A 19,756-nucleotide genomic window follows, 5' to 3' on the forward strand; every position below is an offset into this window, starting at 1 on the left:
ACTGCACTCCATCCTGGGCAAGACTCCCCATGGAAAAAAAAAAAAAAAGAGCAGAGGACAGGGGATGCACGCGGAACCAAGAGCTTCGGGAGCTACACACCAGGGCCCGTGCACCCTGCCAAGCCACTCCAAGGGGAAAGACTGTATCTCTCCCCTTCATTCAGCCATCCACAAACACCCCACACCCCCAAGCCAGGAACCCCAAGCAGGGAGGCAGCCCCAGGTGATGACTGTGCAGGGAGCTGAGCGACCACATGAGGGCAGTGGAGACTCGATCAGGACCGCATAGGATTTGGCCTTAGGATGGGGGTGGGATGTGAGAAAATGGGGAGAGGGGTGAGGCCAGGGGGCCTTGGAGTAGGCGGAGGCTGGAGAGTGGTTGCCTGTCCACAGACTCCCCATTCATGTCACATGTGGTATTCGTCATCCATGCAAGTATTTGTTCCTTTATTCATTTCTTCAGTTTGTTTATTCTTCTAAGCCAGCCCCTCTGCCGTCCATCCTTCCGTCTTTCCTTCCTCTCTTTCTCACTCTGTTTTTTTCTTTCTTGTCCCTTTGGTTTGTCTGGCCAGGAGATCAACTGGGCATACCGTCCTGAGCCACAGCTGGGTGCCAGCCTGAGAGAGGCACTCCTCTAGGGGATACGGTGAGCCTTGGCCCCTGCCCTTGAAGGGTTCAGGGCAGTAGGCCACGGTGCTGGGCTCCCCACAGATCTGGGCCTGGGGTTGGTGGGGCCTCGAGGGGCCTAAGTCTCCCACAGGCTGCAAGTCCTGAGAAGCCTCAGTAAACACTAAAACAGTAAACAGTACCCTGGCCAGGCAGACTGTGTGACCTGGGCCACCACTCTAAAAATAAATTCCAGGAAAACAGTATGGTCCCAGGTCCAGCAATGTCTGAGATTCAGGGACATTCCCTGCCAACCAGAGCCGATTTCTGTGGCCTGGTGACTAAGCTCCCTCTCGCAGGAGCGTAAGCATGGTGGGGGAGCGGAGGCTGGGGCTTGACGTCAGGAGATTGAATCCTTGCTGTGTCCTGCTGGTCTAAGACACCCCTCTGCCTCTCTCTGAGGCTCAGTTCCCAAATCTGTAAAATGGGAGGAAGCAGGTCATCTGCTTGGTCTACCTCGTGGTCTGAGAGCTAAATGAAATTGCAATTGTGCAGATGAGGCGTGATGGAGGGAGACCACCTGGCTTTGGGGTCACGCCTGGATCCAAATTCTAGTTCAGCCTCTTACTAGCTGTGGATGTTAGTCAACAACTTAGCCTCTCTGGGCCTCAGGCTCCTCATCTGTGAAATGGAGCTAAGAGTCCCTACCTCCTAGGGAACAGTGCCTACACGTGGCTTGCAATCCACTAATGGGTGTTGTTATTATTAGGAAATGTTCAGTGAAACTGTATAGCATGACAAACATCAAGTGTGTCATTACAGAGATTATCCCTATAGCAACCAAGGCCAAACGCCTCTGCCTGACTCTCAGCTCCCTCCACCCCCAGTCTGGCCCCACCTGCCTTCCAGCCTTGCCACCCAAGGCCTGACGACAGCAGCAGTTGGGAGGAAGATGCTGACAGCTGATCCGAGGGGGTGGGGCCCCTCTCACCACTCCTTGGGGCGGGGAGCCCTGCTCTGGAGCTACCTGCCCAGCCCAGTGTCAAGTCACTGCCGAGCCCTGTGGCAGTTTCGGGGAGGAAGGGGCACCTGGAAAGGCAGAGCTGTGCTGGGGAGGATCCTTCCCTCCAAGTGGGGCTCCATCCAGCCTGCAGACCACAGCCCGGAGCGGGAGCCGGGCAGAGGAGTCAAGGAGCTGGGCTCTGCCTCTCCACCTAGTGACTCCTGCCCTGGCTGCCTCTTTAGACCACAGTGAGTTTAAAGGAGGTTGAAGGTGCTTTTTCACCTGCCTGACTTGGAACTCCATGAGGGGGGATGTCATGACCAGCATAAATTAGGGGGAACCTAATGACGTCTGCCCCTTGTTCTTTTAAGCTTCAATAGAAACACTCAGTCCAAGATCTGGGAAGACCCTTGTGCCCATTTTTAAAAGATTTCAACTCTGGCCATTAGGAGAAGTGGAGAGATCAGGTGACAATGAGTTCCCAGTTCAATGCTGGATTTACTGCTGGCATCCAACGTGCTCCACTGAGCAAGCACCAGCTCCTCATGCTGCACCACTGTGCAAGCGAGCCTCACCCTCTGCGGGGGCGGGGTGGGGGGGCAGCATTCCGCTCCGGCCTCCGCAGCTTCGCACGTGCCGCTGTCTCCGGTGGAACACCTTTTCCCTCCCCCATCTGACTGTGTTTCACTTTTTCCTCAAGACTCTGAAAGGTTTCCTGACTCCCTCAACGTGGGCGAGGAGCTCTTTTCCCCTACTCCCGTCCCGCTGCCTGTCCCTACTCCCGTTGTAGTTCTGATCACACTGATGTCCTGCGTGTCTACCATTCTAAGCCGTGGGCTTCTCAAGGCAGGGCCTGGATTTTGTCTTAAACAGTTCAGGGTCCCCGGGCCCTTGGGCACCAGGGGGACATCTCATGGTGCAATAATAAGAAACACTCACACTTTACAGAGGGAAGGTTCTATCGCTTTCCCTAGATCGTGGCCAGCCACGGTGTCAGGTGGCTGCCCACCTGCAGCAGAGCTTCCTGGTGCTGCGGGAGGGGGCAGGCCAGGCCTGGTGGGGCCAGTGAAGGGGGTCATCCCCTTCCCACCTGGCATGAAACGCCTGTGTTGTGCTGCGTCCTGAGACCCCTGGGGAAATGCACCATTCATTCATTCATTCATTCATTCACTAAAGGTCACTGGCTCCTGCCTGGGATCTGGGACCCAGCCCCTGAGCACACCCCCGCCCCCACTGTCATGGTCCCGCTGTTTGTCTTCTCCCTTCCGACCTCCCGTGGCCCCAGCGCGGCCAGCTCACAGTAGGTGCTCGGGCAGCGTTTCTTCAGGGACCTAGACGGCCTGGAGAGGAAGGGCCCCAGCCCAGCCGCCCGGGCCTCTCACCTGGCTCTCGGGGCGCCCGGCTCGCACTTCCTCCCGCCGCCCCGCCCCTTCCACATTCCTGCCCCGCCGGGCCTGCCCCGCGCAGTCTGGGTCTCTGCGCCGCAGCCGCCCGCCCGCCCGCTCAGCGCCCGGCCCCGGGATGACGGCGGCCCAGGCCGCGGGTGAGGAGGCGCCACCAGGCGTGCGGTCCGTCAAGGTGGTCCTGGTGGGCGACGGCGGCTGCGGGAAGACGTCGCTGCTGATGGTCTTCGCCGATGGGGCCTTCCCCGAGGTGAGTGCCCCGCGCCTCCGCCTCGCCCGGTTCCGCTCGCGCGCCCGGGTGTACAGGTCCGTGCCGGAGCGGCCCAGGCTGTGCGCCTAACCCGGCCTCCGAGGGGTGTCCCAGCGGGGCCTGGGGTCCAGGGCAGAGTTCTTCCGCCCCAGCCATTGGGAATGAAGGCCTCAGTGATGTTATCTGTAAAGCCGGAGGAATGGCATCCACCGGGGAGAGGTGTCACAAGGACTGAGTGAGGCGACCTGGGTGCACACAAGATCCTAAGACAGCACTTGGCCACACAATTCCGCTGAGGGCCTGAGAGCTTGGAAGCCAGACTGCCGAGGTTCAAATTATGGCTTTGCCTCTTATAGCTGTGTGCCCTTGGGTAAGTCCCCTAACCCTGCTGTGCCTGTGTCCCTCACTACATCACAGGTGAGTGACAGTGCCCACCACACAGGGTCACTGTGACAGAGAGTTAATAGACCTCAAGCACTCAGCCCCGGCCTGTGCACAGGAAGGACTCACGGAGAGTTGGCACATGTCGCTCCTGGGAAACATTGTCTCCCTTCCAGCTCTTGCCGCTGGAAAGCACATGCCATGGGCTCTGCCTTGGAGGGTGGGAGCACGCCAGCTGTAGCCTCAGCTGCTGGGCCCGCGTCTCTGCTCTCCTCTGAGCCCCGTGCCCTTTTGTAACCTGCTTAGCTTCTCTGAGCCTCAGTTTCCTCACAACAACCCCATGGGGTAGAGGGACTGTAGGGCAGTGGTGAAGTGGAGCCCAGGGGAGGCTGACAGGCAGCTCCCGTGCGGTAGCTGGCATGTCCTTGGCGCTGTAGGCATGCCCACCGTTAATCCTTCCTGACATGCTCACTGACTGCCCAGGCAGACTCCACGGGCACCAGGCGGCCCCTGCTCTGCCGCCTCTCAGCCCTGTTGTCCTGGGAGTCCATGGAGTTGCTTCCAGCATCTCTTCTTTTTTTTTATTTTTATTTTTTTTGAGAAGAGTCTCACTCTGTCACCCAGGCTGGAGTGATATTGGCACAATCTCAGCTCACTGCAACCTCCGCCTCCTGGGTTCAAGCGATTCTCTTGCCTCAGCCTCCTAAGTAGCTGGGATTACAGGCGCCCACCACCACGCCTAGCTAATTTTTAAAATTATTTTATTTTATTTTATTTTTGAGACGGAGTCTCGCTCTGTCGCCAGGTTAGAGTGCAGTGGCACAATCTCGGCTCACTGTAACCTCTGCCTCCCAGGTTCAAGCGATTCTCCCGCCTCAGCCTCCCGAGTAGCTGGGACTACAGGCGCGTGCCACCGTGCCCAGCTAATTTTTGTATATTTTTAGTAGAGACAGGGTTTCGCCATGTTGGCCAGAATGGTCTCGATCATTTGACCTGGTGATCCGCCCACCTTGGCCTCCCAAAATGCTGGGATTACAGGTGTGAGCCACCACACCCAGCCAATTTTTTTATTTTTAGTAGAGATGGAGTTTTGCCATGTTGGTCAGGCTGGTCTCGAACTCCTGGCCTCAAGCGATCTGCCCGCCTCGGCCTCCCAAAGTGCTAGGATTACTGGCCTGAGCCACCGCAACTGGCATTCTTCCTCCTTTTCTTCCCAGCATCCTCTAAGCCCCTGGGGTTGTATAGGTGCTGGAGCATCTGAGCACAAGCAGGACGGTCGGGCCTACCCCAGTTCTTATCACACTGTAGTTCTTATCAGGATGATATCTGTCTGCCTGTCTCCCACCCTTGGCCCATGTGCTTTCTGCTGCAGTGGCATTGAGCCACTTTTGTTTAGTAGCTTGCGGAGCTGGTGTCACCTCCTTTGACCAGTCATACATTTTTTTAAGTTGGGGGAAACATGTTTCTGGGCCCCTAGATGCTGCCCATGGGAACCCAACAATGAGGGCACCCGGGGAAGAGCACCACACAGGGACAGGTGGCCCAGGCCCAGGGGAAGGCACCTGATGGGCGGGGGCTGGAGGGCTGATGCCTCACCACCAGCTCTGAGATGTCCTTGATGGTGAGACCATCCCAACTTCAGAGGAGTTATGACGTGGAAATGGGCCTCTTCCAGTTGATAAGATGTGAATGCTTTGAGGGACATGCTGGGGCTGGCCAGAAATGGGGGGAGGGCATGCTTATCACCAGGAAAATGGGCTGGATTTGTCCAGGCTCCTCCCGTCTGGGGGCTCTGAGTTCCCTGGAGCAGGAGAGTCCTCTTCATTTAAAGAACCCACAATGGGCCGGGCGTAATGGCCCACACCTGTAATCCCAGCTCTCTGGGAGGCCAAGGTGGGTGGATCACCTGAGGTCAGGAATTCAAGACCAGCCTGGCCAACATGGTGAAACCCCATGTCTACCGAAAATACAAAAAAAATTACCCGGGCATAGTGGCAGGCGCCTGTAATCCCAGCTACTCGGGAAGCTGAGGCAGGAGAATCGCTTGAACTCAGGAGGTGGAGGTTGCAGTGAACCGAGATCGCGCCATTGCACTCCAGCTCGGGGACAACAGAGCGAGACTCCGTCTCAAAATATATATAAATATATATATATATATGTAATTAAATAAATTAATTAAAAGAACCCACAACGTGTAAGAGTTGGAAAGGCTTCATTTTGCAGATGGGAAAACTGAGTCCAGAACCCAGAGGCTTACCTGGGGGCACATGGCCCGGCAGTGGCAGCACTGATCTAGAGCCCAGGTCTTCCCCCTCCCGACCAGGGCCTTCTCCACAGCCCCCAGTGCTCTGCCTGCTGGACCCAGCCTCCTCCTGCCCCTGTCCCTAGCACCAGACTCTTCCTCTAGGCAGCCCTCGAAGCCCAAGGGGCCAGCAGCCAGGAGGCTGGAGTCCCATCTCCCAGACTTCCTGCACACAGCAAAGGGCTGAGAGCAGCCTGAGGATTTGGAGGGACCTCAGTGACCCTCATCTGGCTGTGACCCAACCCTGGATTCAGGGCAGCAGGGGAGGGCAAGGTGGAGAGAGCTCCTAGGACAGGGGGAAGCCCCAGGCTGGGGTGCCAGCCTCTGCCCAGTCCTGGCTGGCATTTGTGGCTGCAACCATTCCCACAGGTTCAAAGCCTAGCAGCCCCCACACCAGCATGGGGATAGGAGGTGGCAGGGAGCACCCGGCCCTGCTGGCTAGAGCCCCCTGGGTCCTTCCTGGTTCGCACTTGGACTCCCATGGGTGTCCTAACCAGGGATGCCCCGACACTCCCTCTTGAGCCAGGTCCCCCATCTTGGTAATGATTCATTTTCTGTCTGTGAGCCCCTGGAGGGCAGACCTGAGCCTGAGTCATCTCCGTCCTGGTCCAGCACAGGCCCAGTCCTTCTTTTCTGGCTGAGGACGGCTTAACAGATAAAATTAGGTGCCATTGATCCCATGGACAGAGGGTGACCCTGCCTGGGGGTCAAAGAACAACACAACAAAAGGTACAGACAGAGTCTCTAGGATGACGTCCCGAGTGGGGGAAAGGGCTGTGACAGTTACAAGCCAGAGGGGAAACCCAGCCCCTTTCTGTCTCCGGGAACTGGAGTTGGTAACCTCAGGAAAGGCAGGTGGCTGAGGACAAGGCCTGGTCTCTGCAGCCACAAAGACCTGGCTCTGTCACTAGCCAGCTGTTCAGTGTGTCACCTTGAACAAGTCATTTCCTCTCTCTGGGCATCATCAGAAAGTGAAGGTTGTACTGACGTTCCGAGCTTGCAAGGATCGGAGATGGTGCCAGTACACAGCCACACACAGAAGATCCTTAGAGAATGGTGGGTGGTGGTGTCATTACCATGGGCATTTGCAAAGCACTGAAACATGTCTCCCAAGAGATTTCCAGCAGGCTGCCTTGCAGCTCAGATCAAGAAGGTGACTGAGTGGGTGGTCAAGCTGGGAGCTCAGATGCAAGGGCACCAGTGCCCTTCACAATGACAGGCCCCTACTCTAGGACAAAGGTCAGAAGCTGCGGAGGGGCTGGGTGTATTAGTCCATTTTCACATTGCTATAAAGAACTACCCGAGACTGGGTAATTTATAAAGAAAAGAGGTTTAATTGACTCACAGTTCTGCATGGCTGGGGAGGCCTCAGGAAACTTACAATCATTGTGGAAGGTGAAGTGGAAGCAAGGCACTTCTTATGTGGCAGCAGGAGAGAGAGAGAAGGGGGAAGCACCACACTTTTAAACCATCAGATCTCGTAAGAACTTCCTCACTATTGGCCAGGCGTGGTGGCTCACACCTGTAATCCCTGCTCTTTGGGAGGCCAAGGTGTGCAGATCACTTGAGGTCAGGAGGAGTCCAGCCTGGCCAACACTGTAAAACCCCATCTCTATTAAAAGTACAAAAATTAGGCTGGGTACGGTGGCTCACACCTGTAATCCCAGCACTTCGGGAGGCCGAGGCGGGTGGATCACCTGAGGTCGGAAGTTCGAGACCAGCCTGACCAACATGGAGAAACCCCATCTCTACTAAAAATACAAAATTAGCCGGGCGTGGTGGCACATGCCTGTAATCCCAGTTACTCAGGAGGCTGAGGCAGGAGAATCGCTTGAACCTGGGAGGCAGATGTTGTGGGGAGCTGAGATCGTGCCATTGCACTCCAACCTGGGCAACAAGAGCGAAACTCTGTCTCAAAAAAAAAAAAAAAAAATCAAACCCGGGAGGCGGACCTTGCAGTGAGCCGAGATCAGGCCACTGCACTCCAGCCTGTCCAGGAGGCGACAGAGCGAGACCCTCTCTAAAAAAAAAAAAAAAAATATATATATATATATATATGTGTGTGTGTGTGTGTATATATATATATGTGTGTGTATATATATATGTGTGTGTGTGTGTGTGTGTGTGTATATATATATTAGCCAGGCGTGGTGACACACCTGTAATCCCAGCTACTCAGGAGGCTGAGGCAGGAGAATCACTTGAACCCAGGAGGCAGAGGCTGCAGTGAGCAAGATTGCACTACTGCGCTCCAGCCTGACTCCGTCGAAAAAAAAAAATCTCCCTCACTATCACAAGAACAGCATGGGGGAAACCGCCTTCATGATTCAATCACCTCCCACCAGGTCCTTCCCTCGACACGTGGGGATTACAATTCGAGATGAGATTTGCTTGGGGACACAGCCAATCCATATCACTGGCGAAGGTGTCACCACCTGGAAGGATGGACGGGGGCTCGTGTGGACACTGCCCCTGGCCACCAGCTTCCCTGGTGGTGAGCATTTATGCTGGGGCCTCACCTGCCAGTCCATCCTCCCTCCCACATCATGGCATGACACTCTCCCCCTTTAACCAGTGAGGAGACTGTCCTAAGGACACATAGCAGGTGAGTGCTGGAGCCCGGTCTTAAGCCAGGCATATCTAAACCTAAAGCTAGTGCTCCTAGCTACCAGGTCACACTGCCCTGGCAAAGGCAAAGGGCCTGAGGGAGGGCACCCTGAGCAGGCAAGGGGGGATGGAGAGGTAGGTGAGGCCCTTGTCTGTTCCTGTTGGTTCCTTTTGGTAGAGGGAGTGATAGCATGTCTAGAGTCTGGGGTGGGGCCAGCCCTTACCTCAAGGCTATCCAGACTTCTCCATCTTCCTCAGCTGCCCACTCTGGGACCTGCCTTTCTCCCCACCCCACTCCCTGCAGCTTCCCTGGAGGACGGTGCTGACCCACTGCTCAGGTGCTGCCCCTCCCAGCTGGCCAGGGCCTGACTCAGAGGGCCAGCGGGCAGGCAGGCGTGAAATTCTCCTGAGTCACGGGCAGGTGTGGGCCGCACCCGGCATGGGAAGGGAAGAGGATAGGGGCCCCCCAGACTGTGGCCCCATCAACCAGCCCTGAGCAGGCAGTCAAGGCTTAGGGACCCAAGAGCGGGCGGCCCAGCATCCCCTCAGAGCAGAGGGCACAGGTTGTGGCAGAGTTTTGCAAACCCATCTTACAAAAGCTCCCTCTTCATTCCTGCATTTTCATCTGTGTACAAAACCTGGCCTGCTGCCCGTTCATCTCACCTTCATGGAAAGGCAGCAGTGAGCTCAGGCTGGGCAGGGCTGGAGTAAGGGGCCTCTGTCCTGGGTGACCTCCTCCCAAGCCCAGGCAGGACAAAGAAGAAAGGCCCAAACATGGGGCACTGGGCTGGGCGTGGTGGCTCACCTGTAATCCCAGCACTTTGGGAGGCCAAGGCAGGTGGATCGTGTGAGTCCAGGAGTTCAAGACCAGCCTGGGCAACATAGCAAGACCCCATCTCTGCAAAAAATACAAAAAATTACTTTGGGAGGCCAAGGTGGGTGGATTGCTTGAGTTCAGGAGTTCGAGACCAGCCTGGGCAACATGGCAAAACCCTGTCTCTACGAAAAAAGAAGAAAAATTAGCCAGGCATGGTGGCCCACACCTGTAATCCCAGCTACTCAGGAGGCTGAGGTAGGAGAATCACCTGAGCCTGGGAGACAGAGGTTGCAGTGAGTCAAGATCGCACCACTGCACTCAGGCCTGGGTGACAGAGTGAGACCCTATCTTTTTTTTTTTTTTTTTTAAAAAAAGGCCAGGCGTGGTGGCTCATGCCTGTAATCCCAGCACTTTGGGAGGCCGAGGCAGGTGGATCACTTGAGGTCGGGAGTTCAAGACCAGCCTGGCTAATATGGTGAAACCCCATCTCTACTAAAAGTACAAAAAATTAGCCAGGTGTGCTGGCGTGTGCTTGTAATCCCAGCTACTCACAAGGCTGAGGCAGAAGAATCACTTGAACCCAGGAGGCAGAAGTTGCATTGACCCAAGAGATCACACCATTGCACTCCAGCCTGGGTGACAGAGCAGGACTCTCTCTCAAAAAAAAAAAAAAAAAAAAAAAAAGCCCGGGTACAGTGGCTCATGCCTGTAACCCCAGCACTTTGGGAGGCCAAGGTGGGCAGATCACGAGGTCAGGAGTTCGAGACCAGCCTGACCAACATGGTGAAACCCCGTCTCTACTAAAAATATAAAAATTAGCCGGGTATGGTGGCACATGTCTGTAATGCCAGCTACTCGGGAGGCTGAGGCAGGAGAATCCCTTGAACCCAGAAGGCAGAGGTTGCAGTGAGCCAAGATCACGCCACTGCACTGCAGCCTGGGTGACAGAGTGAGACTCCGTCTCAAAAAAAAAAAAAAAAAAAGGCCGGGCGCGGTGGCTCACGCCTGTAATCCCAGCACTTTGGGAGGCCGAGGCGGGTGGATCACGAGGTCAGGAGATCGAGACCATCCTGGCTAACACGGTGAAACCCCGTCTCTACTAAAAATACAAAAAATTAGCCGGGCGTGGTGGCGGGCGCCTGTAGTCCCAGCTACTCAGGAGGCTGAGGCAGGAGAATGGCGTGAACCTGGGAGGCGGAGGTTGCAGTGAGCCAGATCACGCCATTGCACTGCAGCCTGGGTGACAGAGTGAGACTCCCTCTCAAAAAAAAAAAAAAAGGAAAAAGAGAAGGAAAAAAAACGGTAGAGGGGCGCATTGGGGCATTCTGGTAAGGGATCAGGAAAGGCATCCCAGAAAGGTGAAGGTAGCATTTAATAGTGGTCTTGTTTGGATTGTGAGAGGTTGAGAGGCAAAGGAGGAACCCCAAAAAGCTGCGAGTTCCCCAGAGCAGGTATTGAGTCTTTGGTGCCTGCTTCCCAGTGTCCAGAACTGGGCCTAGAGAAGGTGCTAATGCTGCTGAATGAGTAGGTGAATGAACAAATGAACAAAGCAAGGAATGAATAAACATGTAGGTTAATGTTGTTCTAGGAAGGGGGGACAACATGAATGAAGGCTCAGAAATGGGAGTCCCAGCGGTGTGTGCCAGTGGTCCCAGCTCTTGGGAGGCAGAGGCAGGAGGATTGCTTGAGCCCAGGAGTTTGGGGTTGCAGTGAGCTGTGGTGCCTGTGAATAGCTGCTGCACTCCAGCCTGGGAAACACAGGGAGACCCTGTCTGTGAAAAAAAAGAAAAACGGGAGTCCCCTGCCCCCATCCAGAGGGCAATGATAAAAATAACAGTAGCTGGCATGTAGATGTGCTTATTTTATGCCAGGCCCTGAGCTAAGGGCTCCGCATGGAATATCTCACTGAATCCTTGTAGCGGCACTGCGGTAGGGACTTTTTTTTTTTTTTTGAGACGGAGTCTCACTGTGTCACCCAGACTGGAATGCAATGGCGCGATCTCAGCTCACCGCAACGTCCACCTCCCGGGTTCAAGCTATTCCCCTGCCTCAGCCTCCCAAGTAGCTAGGATTACAGGCATGTGCCACCACGCCTGGCTAATTTTTGTATTTTTAGTAGAGACAGGGTTTCACCATGTTGGTCAGCCTGGTCTCAAACTCCTGACCTCATGATCCGCCCACTTCGGCCTCCCAAAGTGCTGGGATTACAGGCGTGAGCCAGCACACCCGGCCTTTTCGTTGTTGTTGTTGTTGTTTTGAGACAGAGTCTTGCTCTGTCACCTAGGATGGAGTACAGTGGTGCGATCTCGTCTCACTGCAACCTCAGTCCCAAGCAATTCTCGTGCCTCAGCCTCTTAAGTAGTGGGATTACAGGCAGGCCCACCATTCCCAGCTAATTTTTGTATTTTTAGTAGAGACGGTTTCACCATGTTGGCCAGGCTGGTCTCGAACTCCTGGCCTCAAGGCCCACCTCAACGTCCCAAAGTGCTGGGATTACAGGGTGAGCTATGGTGCCTGGCTGGTAGGGACTTTTAATATTCCCATTTCACAACTGAGAACAAAGCTGGGGAGGTTCAGGAGTTTGCAAAAGCAGACAGGCTCTAGGCCGCCACCCCAGGCAGGCCAAGGAGGAGGCTTCTCACAAACAACTACGCTCCACTGACCCCCAAGGAGGGAGCAGCGCTGTGGACAGACCAAGTCCCCAGTGCCTCTCCGAAGCCTCCTCACACCCTCCCCCGCCCTGCTTCTCCTCAGAGCTACACCCCCACGGTGTTTGAGCGGTACATGGTCAACCTGCAAGTGAAAGGCAAACCTGTGCACCTCCACATCTGGGACACAGCAGGTGGGTGTGCAGGGGTGGGGCAGGGTGGGAGGGGCTTCTGTGGGCCCCTGATGCCTGGGACAGATTCCGCTCTGCTTCCTTCTGAACCAGGGAGGCCAGCCAGTCTCCAAGGGACAGGTGTGGGCCAGGAGTGGGCCCAGGAGTCTGAGCCCTCCTTGCCTCTGCAGCAGTGTCTCCTGCACCCCCAGCACCCCAGGGCCGCCCGCTACGTCCTGGAGGCAAGCGGGAGTCCAGCACTTTGCTTTCAGGACTGTTCCTGGCCTTCTGAGCACTCCACTCTGCTTTTAGTTTCTGTAGGATCTGTCTGTCCGTGGCCTCTGCCCTCCAGCCTCCTGACCTTGCCTATACCAGGGTGAGCTCTAAGCTAAACTCAGGGCCTCCCAGCAGCCCTCTTAGTTGGACGGGCTAAGATGTCTTTGCCAGGTTCCCACCTACCCCTTATTTCTCACTCCTAAGCTCAGGGCAAAGCTGGCTTCTGAGCAATTGGCCCCAGTTCCTCCAGGCGGTGCCAGGCCTGGCCTCTGCCTTGCCCGTCATCCCTTCCAGACATCCCACAGGCAGAGGTGAGCACTGCCCCAAAGGGGCACTCACATGGAGTAGCCACCTCAGAGCCAAATTTGTGCCAAACTCTGAGGCAAAAAACTAGGCCCTGTCCCCAGAAGCTCCCCATCTGATGAGGTGACCTCCTGACATTGGGGCAGTGCTGACAGGGGCCAGGAGCCCTGAAGGCAGTGACCACCTCCACTCTGCCCAGGGCAAGATGACTATGACCGCCTGCGGCCCCTGTTCTACCCTGACGCCAGCGTCCTGCTGCTTTGCTTCGATGTCACCAGCCCGAACAGCTTTGACAACATCTTTAACCGGGTAGGTACTGGGGGGCAGGGAGGCATAGCCCCCATAGCCAGGCCACTCCACTCTGCCACCCACCCTCGACCCAGCTGACTGTCAGAGCTTGGCAGGCCCAAAATGATATTGATTCCAGAGCTTTTGGTGTATATATGGGGAAACTGAGGCTCAGAGTGGGGCAGTGGCTTGCCCAGGGTTGCTGGCACAGGGATTTGGTGGCAGCGTCTGCCCTTCTGACTCCCAGTACAGTGCTCCTTGCCTACCCTATGCTGCAGACTCCGAACACTGTGGCTCTTCCCACGGCGGCTCTGCCTGAGGTTGCTGGGTGAGCCAGAGGCTGCTACATCTCCCCAGCCTGTGCCCGCCCAAGGTGCATGAACAGTCAAGTCAGAGTCCAGCAGCTCTGCGTGGCTGCTGGTTCTCAGAGGCTGCTCATGGGCATCAGGGATGTGGCCCCTTGAATTCCTCTGCTCCAGCTGCCTTTAGCCATGGCACAGCCCCTCACCCACTGCTGCCAGGGCCTCCGAGTTTCCGCAGGGTACAGCCCATGACAGTATTTGCAACAACAACAACAACGGTGACAATTTTAAGGACTGACCACGTGCCAGGCAGTGTTCTTGGTACTTGCATGTATTTACTCATTTACTCCCCCGGCCAACCTTATGGAGTATTATTATTCCCGGATCCAGTCACTCGTCCAAAGATACACATCTATTAAAGTGGTAACACTGGGATTTGAACCCAGGCAGGCTGCTCCGCCCATTCATTCAGAACGAATGATTGAGCACATTCGTTCTGGTGCTGTTCTGGGCATTGGGTACCAGGAGAGATGGTGGTGCCTGGGGCCAGGGTGCTAGCAGTGGGGGTGACGAGAAGGGGGCTGATTCTGAATCGGTCTAGAAGGCGGAGTTTGCTGATGATCAGAGTTTCTTGTTGGATTGGATGTGGGTGGGAGGGAGGAGTTTTTTTGTTTGTTTGTTTGTTTTTTGAAACGGAGTCTTGCTCTGTCACCCAGGCTGGAGTGCAGTGGCGCCATCTCGGCTCACTACAAGCTCTGCCTCCCAGGTTGATACCATTCTCCTGCCTCAGCCTCCTGAGTAGCTGGGACTACAGGCGCCCGCCACCACGCCCGGCTAATTTTTTGTATTTTTAGTAGAGACGGGGTTTCACCATGTTAGCCAGGATGGTCTTGATCTCCTGACCTCGTGATCCGCCCGCCTCGGCCTCCCAAAGTGCTGGGATTACAGGCGTGAGCCACCACGCCCAGCCTGGGAGGAGTTTTTACCAGAGCAGCTGGAAGGTGGAGTTGCCCTTGGCCAAGATGACAAGGAGCAAGCTGGGTTCGGGAGTGGGACATCCTAGTGGAGGTGTCCGGCAGGCAGTGCGATGCATGCGTCTGCAGTTCCTCCGAGCAGGCAGTCCAGCTGGGCAGCCTAAATGCAGCTGCACATTTAGAAGCTACGGGTGCAGTAAAGCCTGGGGGAGGCTGCCCAGGAAGGGAGAGCAGCTAGAGGAGAGGAAAGACCACAGGCTGAACCCCAGGGAGAGGAGGAGGAGGGCAAGGCCCCATAAGACCTAGGAGAGCCAGGAGAGTGGGGTCCTGGGGTGAAGTGCAGGCTCAGTCAGGTAGGAGGGAGTGATGCCCAGGGTCGGGGTTATCGAGGGATCAGTAGGAGCAGGGCTAAGGATTCTCTGATGGTGGCCGGGTGCGGTAGCTCACGCCTTGTAATCCCAGCACTTTGGGAGGCTGAGGAGGGTGGATTATTTGAGGAGTTTGAGACCAGCCTGACCAACATGGTGAAACCCCGTTGCTACTAAAAATACAAAAATTAGCCGGGCGTGGTGGCACATGCCTATAACCCAGCTACTTGGGAGGCTGAGGCAGGAGAATTGCTTGAACCCGGGAGGCGGAGGTTGCAGTGAGCCAAGATCGCACCACTGCACTCCAGTCTGGGCGACAGAGCGGGACTGTCTCAAAAAAGAGAGGATTCACTGCTGGGTTCAGTGGGAGCCACCAAGGAAACCTTTCTCATGGGCAGTTTCGGTGGATGCGGGGGTGTGGGGAATCTGCCAGGGACCCCACAAAGGCCCCATTTGCTTCCAGGAATGAGGTAGTTTGATGCCAATTTTTGTTTGTTTGTTTGTTTGTTTGTTTTGAGACAGAGTCTCACTCTGTCTCCCAGGCTGGAGTGCAGTGGTACAATCTGGGCTCACTGCAACCTCCACCTCCTGGGTTCAAGCGATTCTCCTGCCTCAGCCTCCCGAGTAGCTAGGATTGCAGGCTTGAGCCACCAAGCCCGGCTGATGCCAATTTTTATCAGGCAAGTTTCATGCCCAAACCAGCCGACTTCAGCCGACTTAGTGCTCCTGGAGATAGGAAGCCCCCTCCCGGGATCCCCGGCTCCCCAGCTGTAGTCCAGGCTGAAAGAACTCGGCCCTGGTGGCCTCACATTCTGCAGAGCAGCCCTCCCTCCACCAGGCAAGCAGTTGAGGCAGACAGCTGCTGCAACCATTTTGTGAGCAGATTTATTTATTTATTATTTTTTTGAGACGGAGTCTCACTCTGTAGCCCAGGCTGGAGTGCAGTGGCTCCATCTCAGCTCACTGCAACCTCCGCCTCCCAGGTTCAAGCGATTCTCCTGCCTCAGCCTCCAGAGTAGCTGGGACTACAGGTGCACGCCACCACGCCCAGCTAATTTTTGTATTTTTAGTAGAGACGGGGTTTCCCCTTGTTGGCCAGGCTGGTCTCGAACTCCTGACCTCAGGTGATCTGCCTGCCCTCAGCCTCCCAAAGTGCTGGGATTACAGGCGTGAGCCACCGAGCCCGGCCTGGATTGATTGATTTATTTTTATCTTTTTAATTGATTTATTTATTTATTTTGAGATGGAGTTTCACTCTGTCGCCCAGGCTGGAATGCAGTGGCGCGATCTCAGCTCCCTGCAACCTCCGCCTCCCAGGTTCATGCCATTCTCCTGCCTCAGCCTCCCGAGCAGCTGGGATTACAGGCACCCGCCATCATGCCCACCTAAATTTTGTATTTTTACTAGAGACAGGGTTTCACTGTTGGCCAGGCTGGTCTCAAACTCCTGACCTCAGGTGTTCCACCTGCCTCAGGCTCCCAAAGTGCTGGGATTACAGGCGTGAGCCACCACACCTGGCCCAGATTTGTTTTTAAAGGATCCCTTACTTCCTTATATGTTTTGCTCAGTTTGGTGGGTGTCCATGAGGGCCCTTACCCTGCAGAGAGGAAAGATTCTAGAACGGCAGGAGCAGGGTTCTGAGCCCCACCCCCAGGCTCAAATCCTGCCATTTCCAGCCAAGGCCAAGTTACATCGCCTTTCTGTGCCTCAGTTACCGCACCTGTACAGTGGGATTGGTTGTGAACTTGCTGCCACGGCCTCGGGGAATTAATGGGTCCATACGTGTAAATTCTTAGATGAGGTTCTGGTACCAAATAGTTTCTCCCTAGGTGCTGGCTTTGCTGATTATCCATATCAGAGCTCAGGCTGGGGAGCAAGAGAGTGGTCCACTGAGAGGGCCAGAACTCTCCAGGGCTCACACATGCCCCCCACATGCCCCCTCGCCCCCCTGCAGTGGTACCCAGAAGTGAATCATTTCTGCAAGAAGGTACCCATCATCGTCGTGGGCTGCAAGACTGACCTGCGCAAGGACAAATCACTGGTGAACAAGCTCCGAAGAAACGGATTGGAGCCTGTGACCTACCACAGGGTAGGAAACCCAGCCCGAGGTGGGAGTTGGGGAGGACTGAGTGAGGGGACCTCTGGATGCCTCTCAGTGGCACCAGGTGTCCAGAACGCTCAGGGTGTAGGTCAGAGCTGCGGTCGTCTTAGAGGCTGTCAGAGGTCAGAAACTTCCAGCACTTAGAAATGGTCCCTAGAATATTCTGGGAGCCTCCACAGGCAAAAGGGAGAACAAGGAAGTAGGCATATCAGAGTCAGTTCCACCACCAACCTGAGACCCAGAGAGGGGGCCCAGGCAGGCACCCACATATTCAGACCGTGGGTCCCTCTCTGCTACACGTCTGGGTTCATGGGAAGTTCATTTCTTGGTGCCTTGAGAGGCAAAGAGGCCCAGAACGGAGGTTAAAAACAACGAAGGCTGGCAGGGCGCAGGGGCTCACGCCTGTAATCCCAGCACTTGGGAGGCCGAGGTGGGTGGATCACTTGAAGTCAGGAGTTCGAGACCAGCCAGGGCAAAATAGCGAGACCCTGTCTCTACCAAAAATACAAAAAATTAGCCAAGTGGTGTGGTGGCGGGTGCCTGTAGTCCTAGCTACTCTGGAGGCAGAGGCAGGAGAATCACTTGAACCCGGTTGGAGGAGCTGCAGTGAGCTGAGATCGCACCACTGCACTCCAGCCTGGACGACAGAGCAAGACTCCGTCTCAAAAAAATAATAATAATAAAAATAAAGAAAAGAAAAACAAACATGATGAAGTGCATGAGGGCGCTTGGGCAAGCAGGGATACGGGAGCCATGGGTGCTCCGCAGACCCCACCTTCCACTCTTGTCCGGGAAAAGGAAGCGAGAACGTGAGGCCTGCCCAGTGCCCCCTTCACCGCAGCCCCATCCACCTCTCCCTCTAGGGCCAGGAGATGGCGAGGTCCGTGGGCGCGGTGGCCTACCTCGAGTGCTCGGCTCGGCTCCATGACAACGTCCACGCCGTCTTCCAGGAGGCCGCCGAGGTGGCCCTCAGCAGCCGCGGTCGCAACTTCTGGCGGCGGATTACCCAGGGCTTTTGCGTGGTGACCTGAGCGGCTCGGGGCGTCCCAGCGACGCGGGAAGGGGCAGGGCGCTGACCTGCTGCTGAGCTGGCTGGGCTGGACCCGGTCCCTAGGCTGTGACCGCCGAACTCCACTGCAACAGACGGGCGCCACCAAAGCCAGGCCCTGAGGCCTGGGAGTCCTGGACTGAGAAAGGGGGTTCCTGGGCCCACCTGCTCTGTGTAGGGCTCGTCCTGCGGTGCCCGAGAATCACTCGCTAACCCCTATGCCCGGTCCCGGACCGACATCCTGGAGCCGCCTGTGCAGCCTGATGCCCCCTCGTGGCTGCTCCCAGGGCTGCACCTGCCAGGACCTAATGTTCTTAGGTCCCTCTGGCCAGAACCCACACCCGGCCCCTTCCCACCTGTCATACTGGTAACTGTAACAAGAAAAACGACATCACTTATCATTGTGTCGTGCCTCTTTTTTCTGTTTTCTTTTTTTTGAGACGGAGTCTCGTTCTATCGCCCAGGCTGGAGTGCAGTGGCGCATTTCAGCTCACTGCAACCTGTGCCTCCTGGGTTCAAGCGATTCTCCTGTCTCAGCCTCCTGAGTAGCTGGGATTACAGGCGCGCGCCACCACACCCGGATAATTTTTGTATTTTCTTTAGCAGAGACGGGGTTTCACCATGTTGGTGAGGCTGGTCTCGAACTCCTGACCTCATGATCCACCCGCCTCGGCCTCCCAAAGTGCTGGGATTACAGCCATGAGCCACCACGCCCTGCCTATGCCTCTTGTTTCAAGGTGTCTTTACACACACGTTCCAAGGTAGGTAAAAGCCCACCCCATCTAGGCACTGGGATGGGACTGCTTGGATCCAAACCAGCTTTATTGCTTCCACGACCTTGGGCAAGTTCTTCTGGGCCTCAGCTTCCTCACCTGTGAAATGGATCACAGACTAAGCCATGGAACTTTCGGATGAGTAAGAGGGTCATGAGGACCAACACACGCAAAGAGCTTAGTAGGTGCCTAGCACGCAGTAAGTGCTCACAAAAGGTTCGGCCAGGGCCGAGCACAGTGACTCATGCCTGTAATCCCAGCACTTTGGGAGGCCGACGTGGGTGGATCACGAGGTCAGGAGTTTGAGACCAGCCTGACCAACATGGTGAAACCCCCATCTCTACTAAAAATACAAAAATTAGCCAGGCGTGGTGGCCCACACCTGTAATCCCAGCTACTCCAGAGGCTGAGGCAGGAGAATAGGTTGCAGTGAGCCGAGATCACACCACTGCACTCCAGCCCAGGCAACACAACGAGACTCCTTCTCAAAAAAAAAAAAGGTGTAGCCAGGTGCTGTGGCACACCTGTCCCAGCCACGATTGTACCAGTGCACTCCAGCTTGGGCTACAAAGCAGAAAAAAAAAAAAAAAAAGAAAAAAAAGTGGCCGGGTGTGTTGGCTTACGCCTGTAATTCCAACACTTTGGGAGGCTGAGGCGGATGGATCACCTGAGGTCAGGAGTTCGAGACCAGCCTAGTGGTCACATGGTGAAACCCGGTCTCTACTAAAAATATAAAAATTAGTTGGATGTGGTGGTACGTCCCTGTAATCCCAGCTACTTGGGAGGCTGAGGCTGGAGAATCACTTGAATCCGGGAAGTGGAAGTTGCAGTGAGCTGAGATCACGCCACTGCACTCCAGCCTGGGTGACAGAGCGAGACTCTGTCAAAAAAAAAAAAAAAAAAAAAAAAAAAAAAGGATCTTGACTTCTGACTTCAGAGCAGTTGAGGCTTGTGCAAGAAGAAAAATCTGCAAGAAGTCTGCATAAAAAGCATAACAGCAAAACCATCAAGGGCTCCAAGAACACAGGGAAGTTACAGAGGAGAGCTGTCTGAGCTAGGTTAAGCTCACTAGGCTTGGGGAGAATAGGGAAGAATATTCTGGGTGCAGGGTATGCTTAGGGGAAGAGCAATCAGGC

General features: G+C 55.4%; 1 protein-coding gene across 2 annotated transcripts, besides 3 other annotated features; it reads left to right on the forward strand.

Annotated features, from left to right (window-relative positions):
- Nucleotides 45-154: an enhancer, noted in NCBI's record as "active region_5067". NCBI's record gives its function as "activates an Ori minimal core promoter by ATAC-STARR-seq in GM12878 lymphoblastoid cells {active_cell/tissue: GM12878}" and the evidence as "EXISTENCE:reporter gene assay evidence [ECO:0000049][PMID:35858748]".
- Nucleotides 2,974-3,133: a silencer, noted in NCBI's record as "silent region_3609". NCBI's record gives its function as "represses an Ori minimal core promoter by ATAC-STARR-seq in GM12878 lymphoblastoid cells {active_cell/tissue: GM12878}" and the evidence as "EXISTENCE:reporter gene assay evidence [ECO:0000049][PMID:35858748]".
- RHOD (ras homolog family member D) lies at nucleotides 3,075-18,245 on the forward strand. Of its 2 annotated transcripts, NM_014578.4 has the most exons (5): nucleotides 3,075-3,262; nucleotides 12,124-12,211; nucleotides 12,966-13,075; nucleotides 16,653-16,787; nucleotides 17,663-18,245. In NM_014578.4, the coding sequence occupies exons 1-5, from the start codon at nucleotides 3,131-3,133 to the stop codon at nucleotides 17,828-17,830; spliced, it is 633 nt and encodes a 210-aa protein (NP_055393.1). In that variant the 5' UTR covers nucleotides 3,075-3,130; the 3' UTR covers nucleotides 17,831-18,245. The 2 variants fall into 2 exon arrangements, with proteins under 2 accessions (NP_055393.1, NP_001287815.1); NM_001300886.2 differs by lacking the exons at nucleotides 12,124-12,211; nucleotides 12,966-13,075.
- Nucleotides 3,144-3,213: a silencer, noted in NCBI's record as "silent region_3610". NCBI's record gives its function as "represses an Ori minimal core promoter by ATAC-STARR-seq in GM12878 lymphoblastoid cells {active_cell/tissue: GM12878}" and the evidence as "EXISTENCE:reporter gene assay evidence [ECO:0000049][PMID:35858748]".
- Nucleotides 18,246-19,756: the final 1,511 nt, after the last annotated feature.

Source organism: Homo sapiens, chromosome 11 (genome assembly GCF_000001405.40).
Source record: "Homo sapiens chromosome 11, GRCh38.p14 Primary Assembly".
Taxonomy (NCBI): domain Eukaryota; kingdom Metazoa; phylum Chordata; class Mammalia; order Primates; family Hominidae; genus Homo; species Homo sapiens.

What these genes read in the sequence shown, in the direction of transcription:
- RHOD (NM_014578.4), top strand. Translation starts at nt 3,131, where the DNA reads ATGACGGCGGCCCAGGCCGCGGGTGAGGAGGCGCCACCAGGCGTGCGG. An exon ending in CCACATCTGGGACACAGCAG is followed by an intron (nt 12,212 to 12,965) that starts GTGGGTGTGCAG and finishes CACTCTGCCCAG; the next exon opens with GGCAAGATGACTATGACCGC. An exon ending in TTGACAACATCTTTAACCGG is followed by an intron (nt 13,076 to 16,652) that starts GTAGGTACTGGG and finishes GCCCCCCTGCAG; the next exon opens with TGGTACCCAGAAGTGAATCA.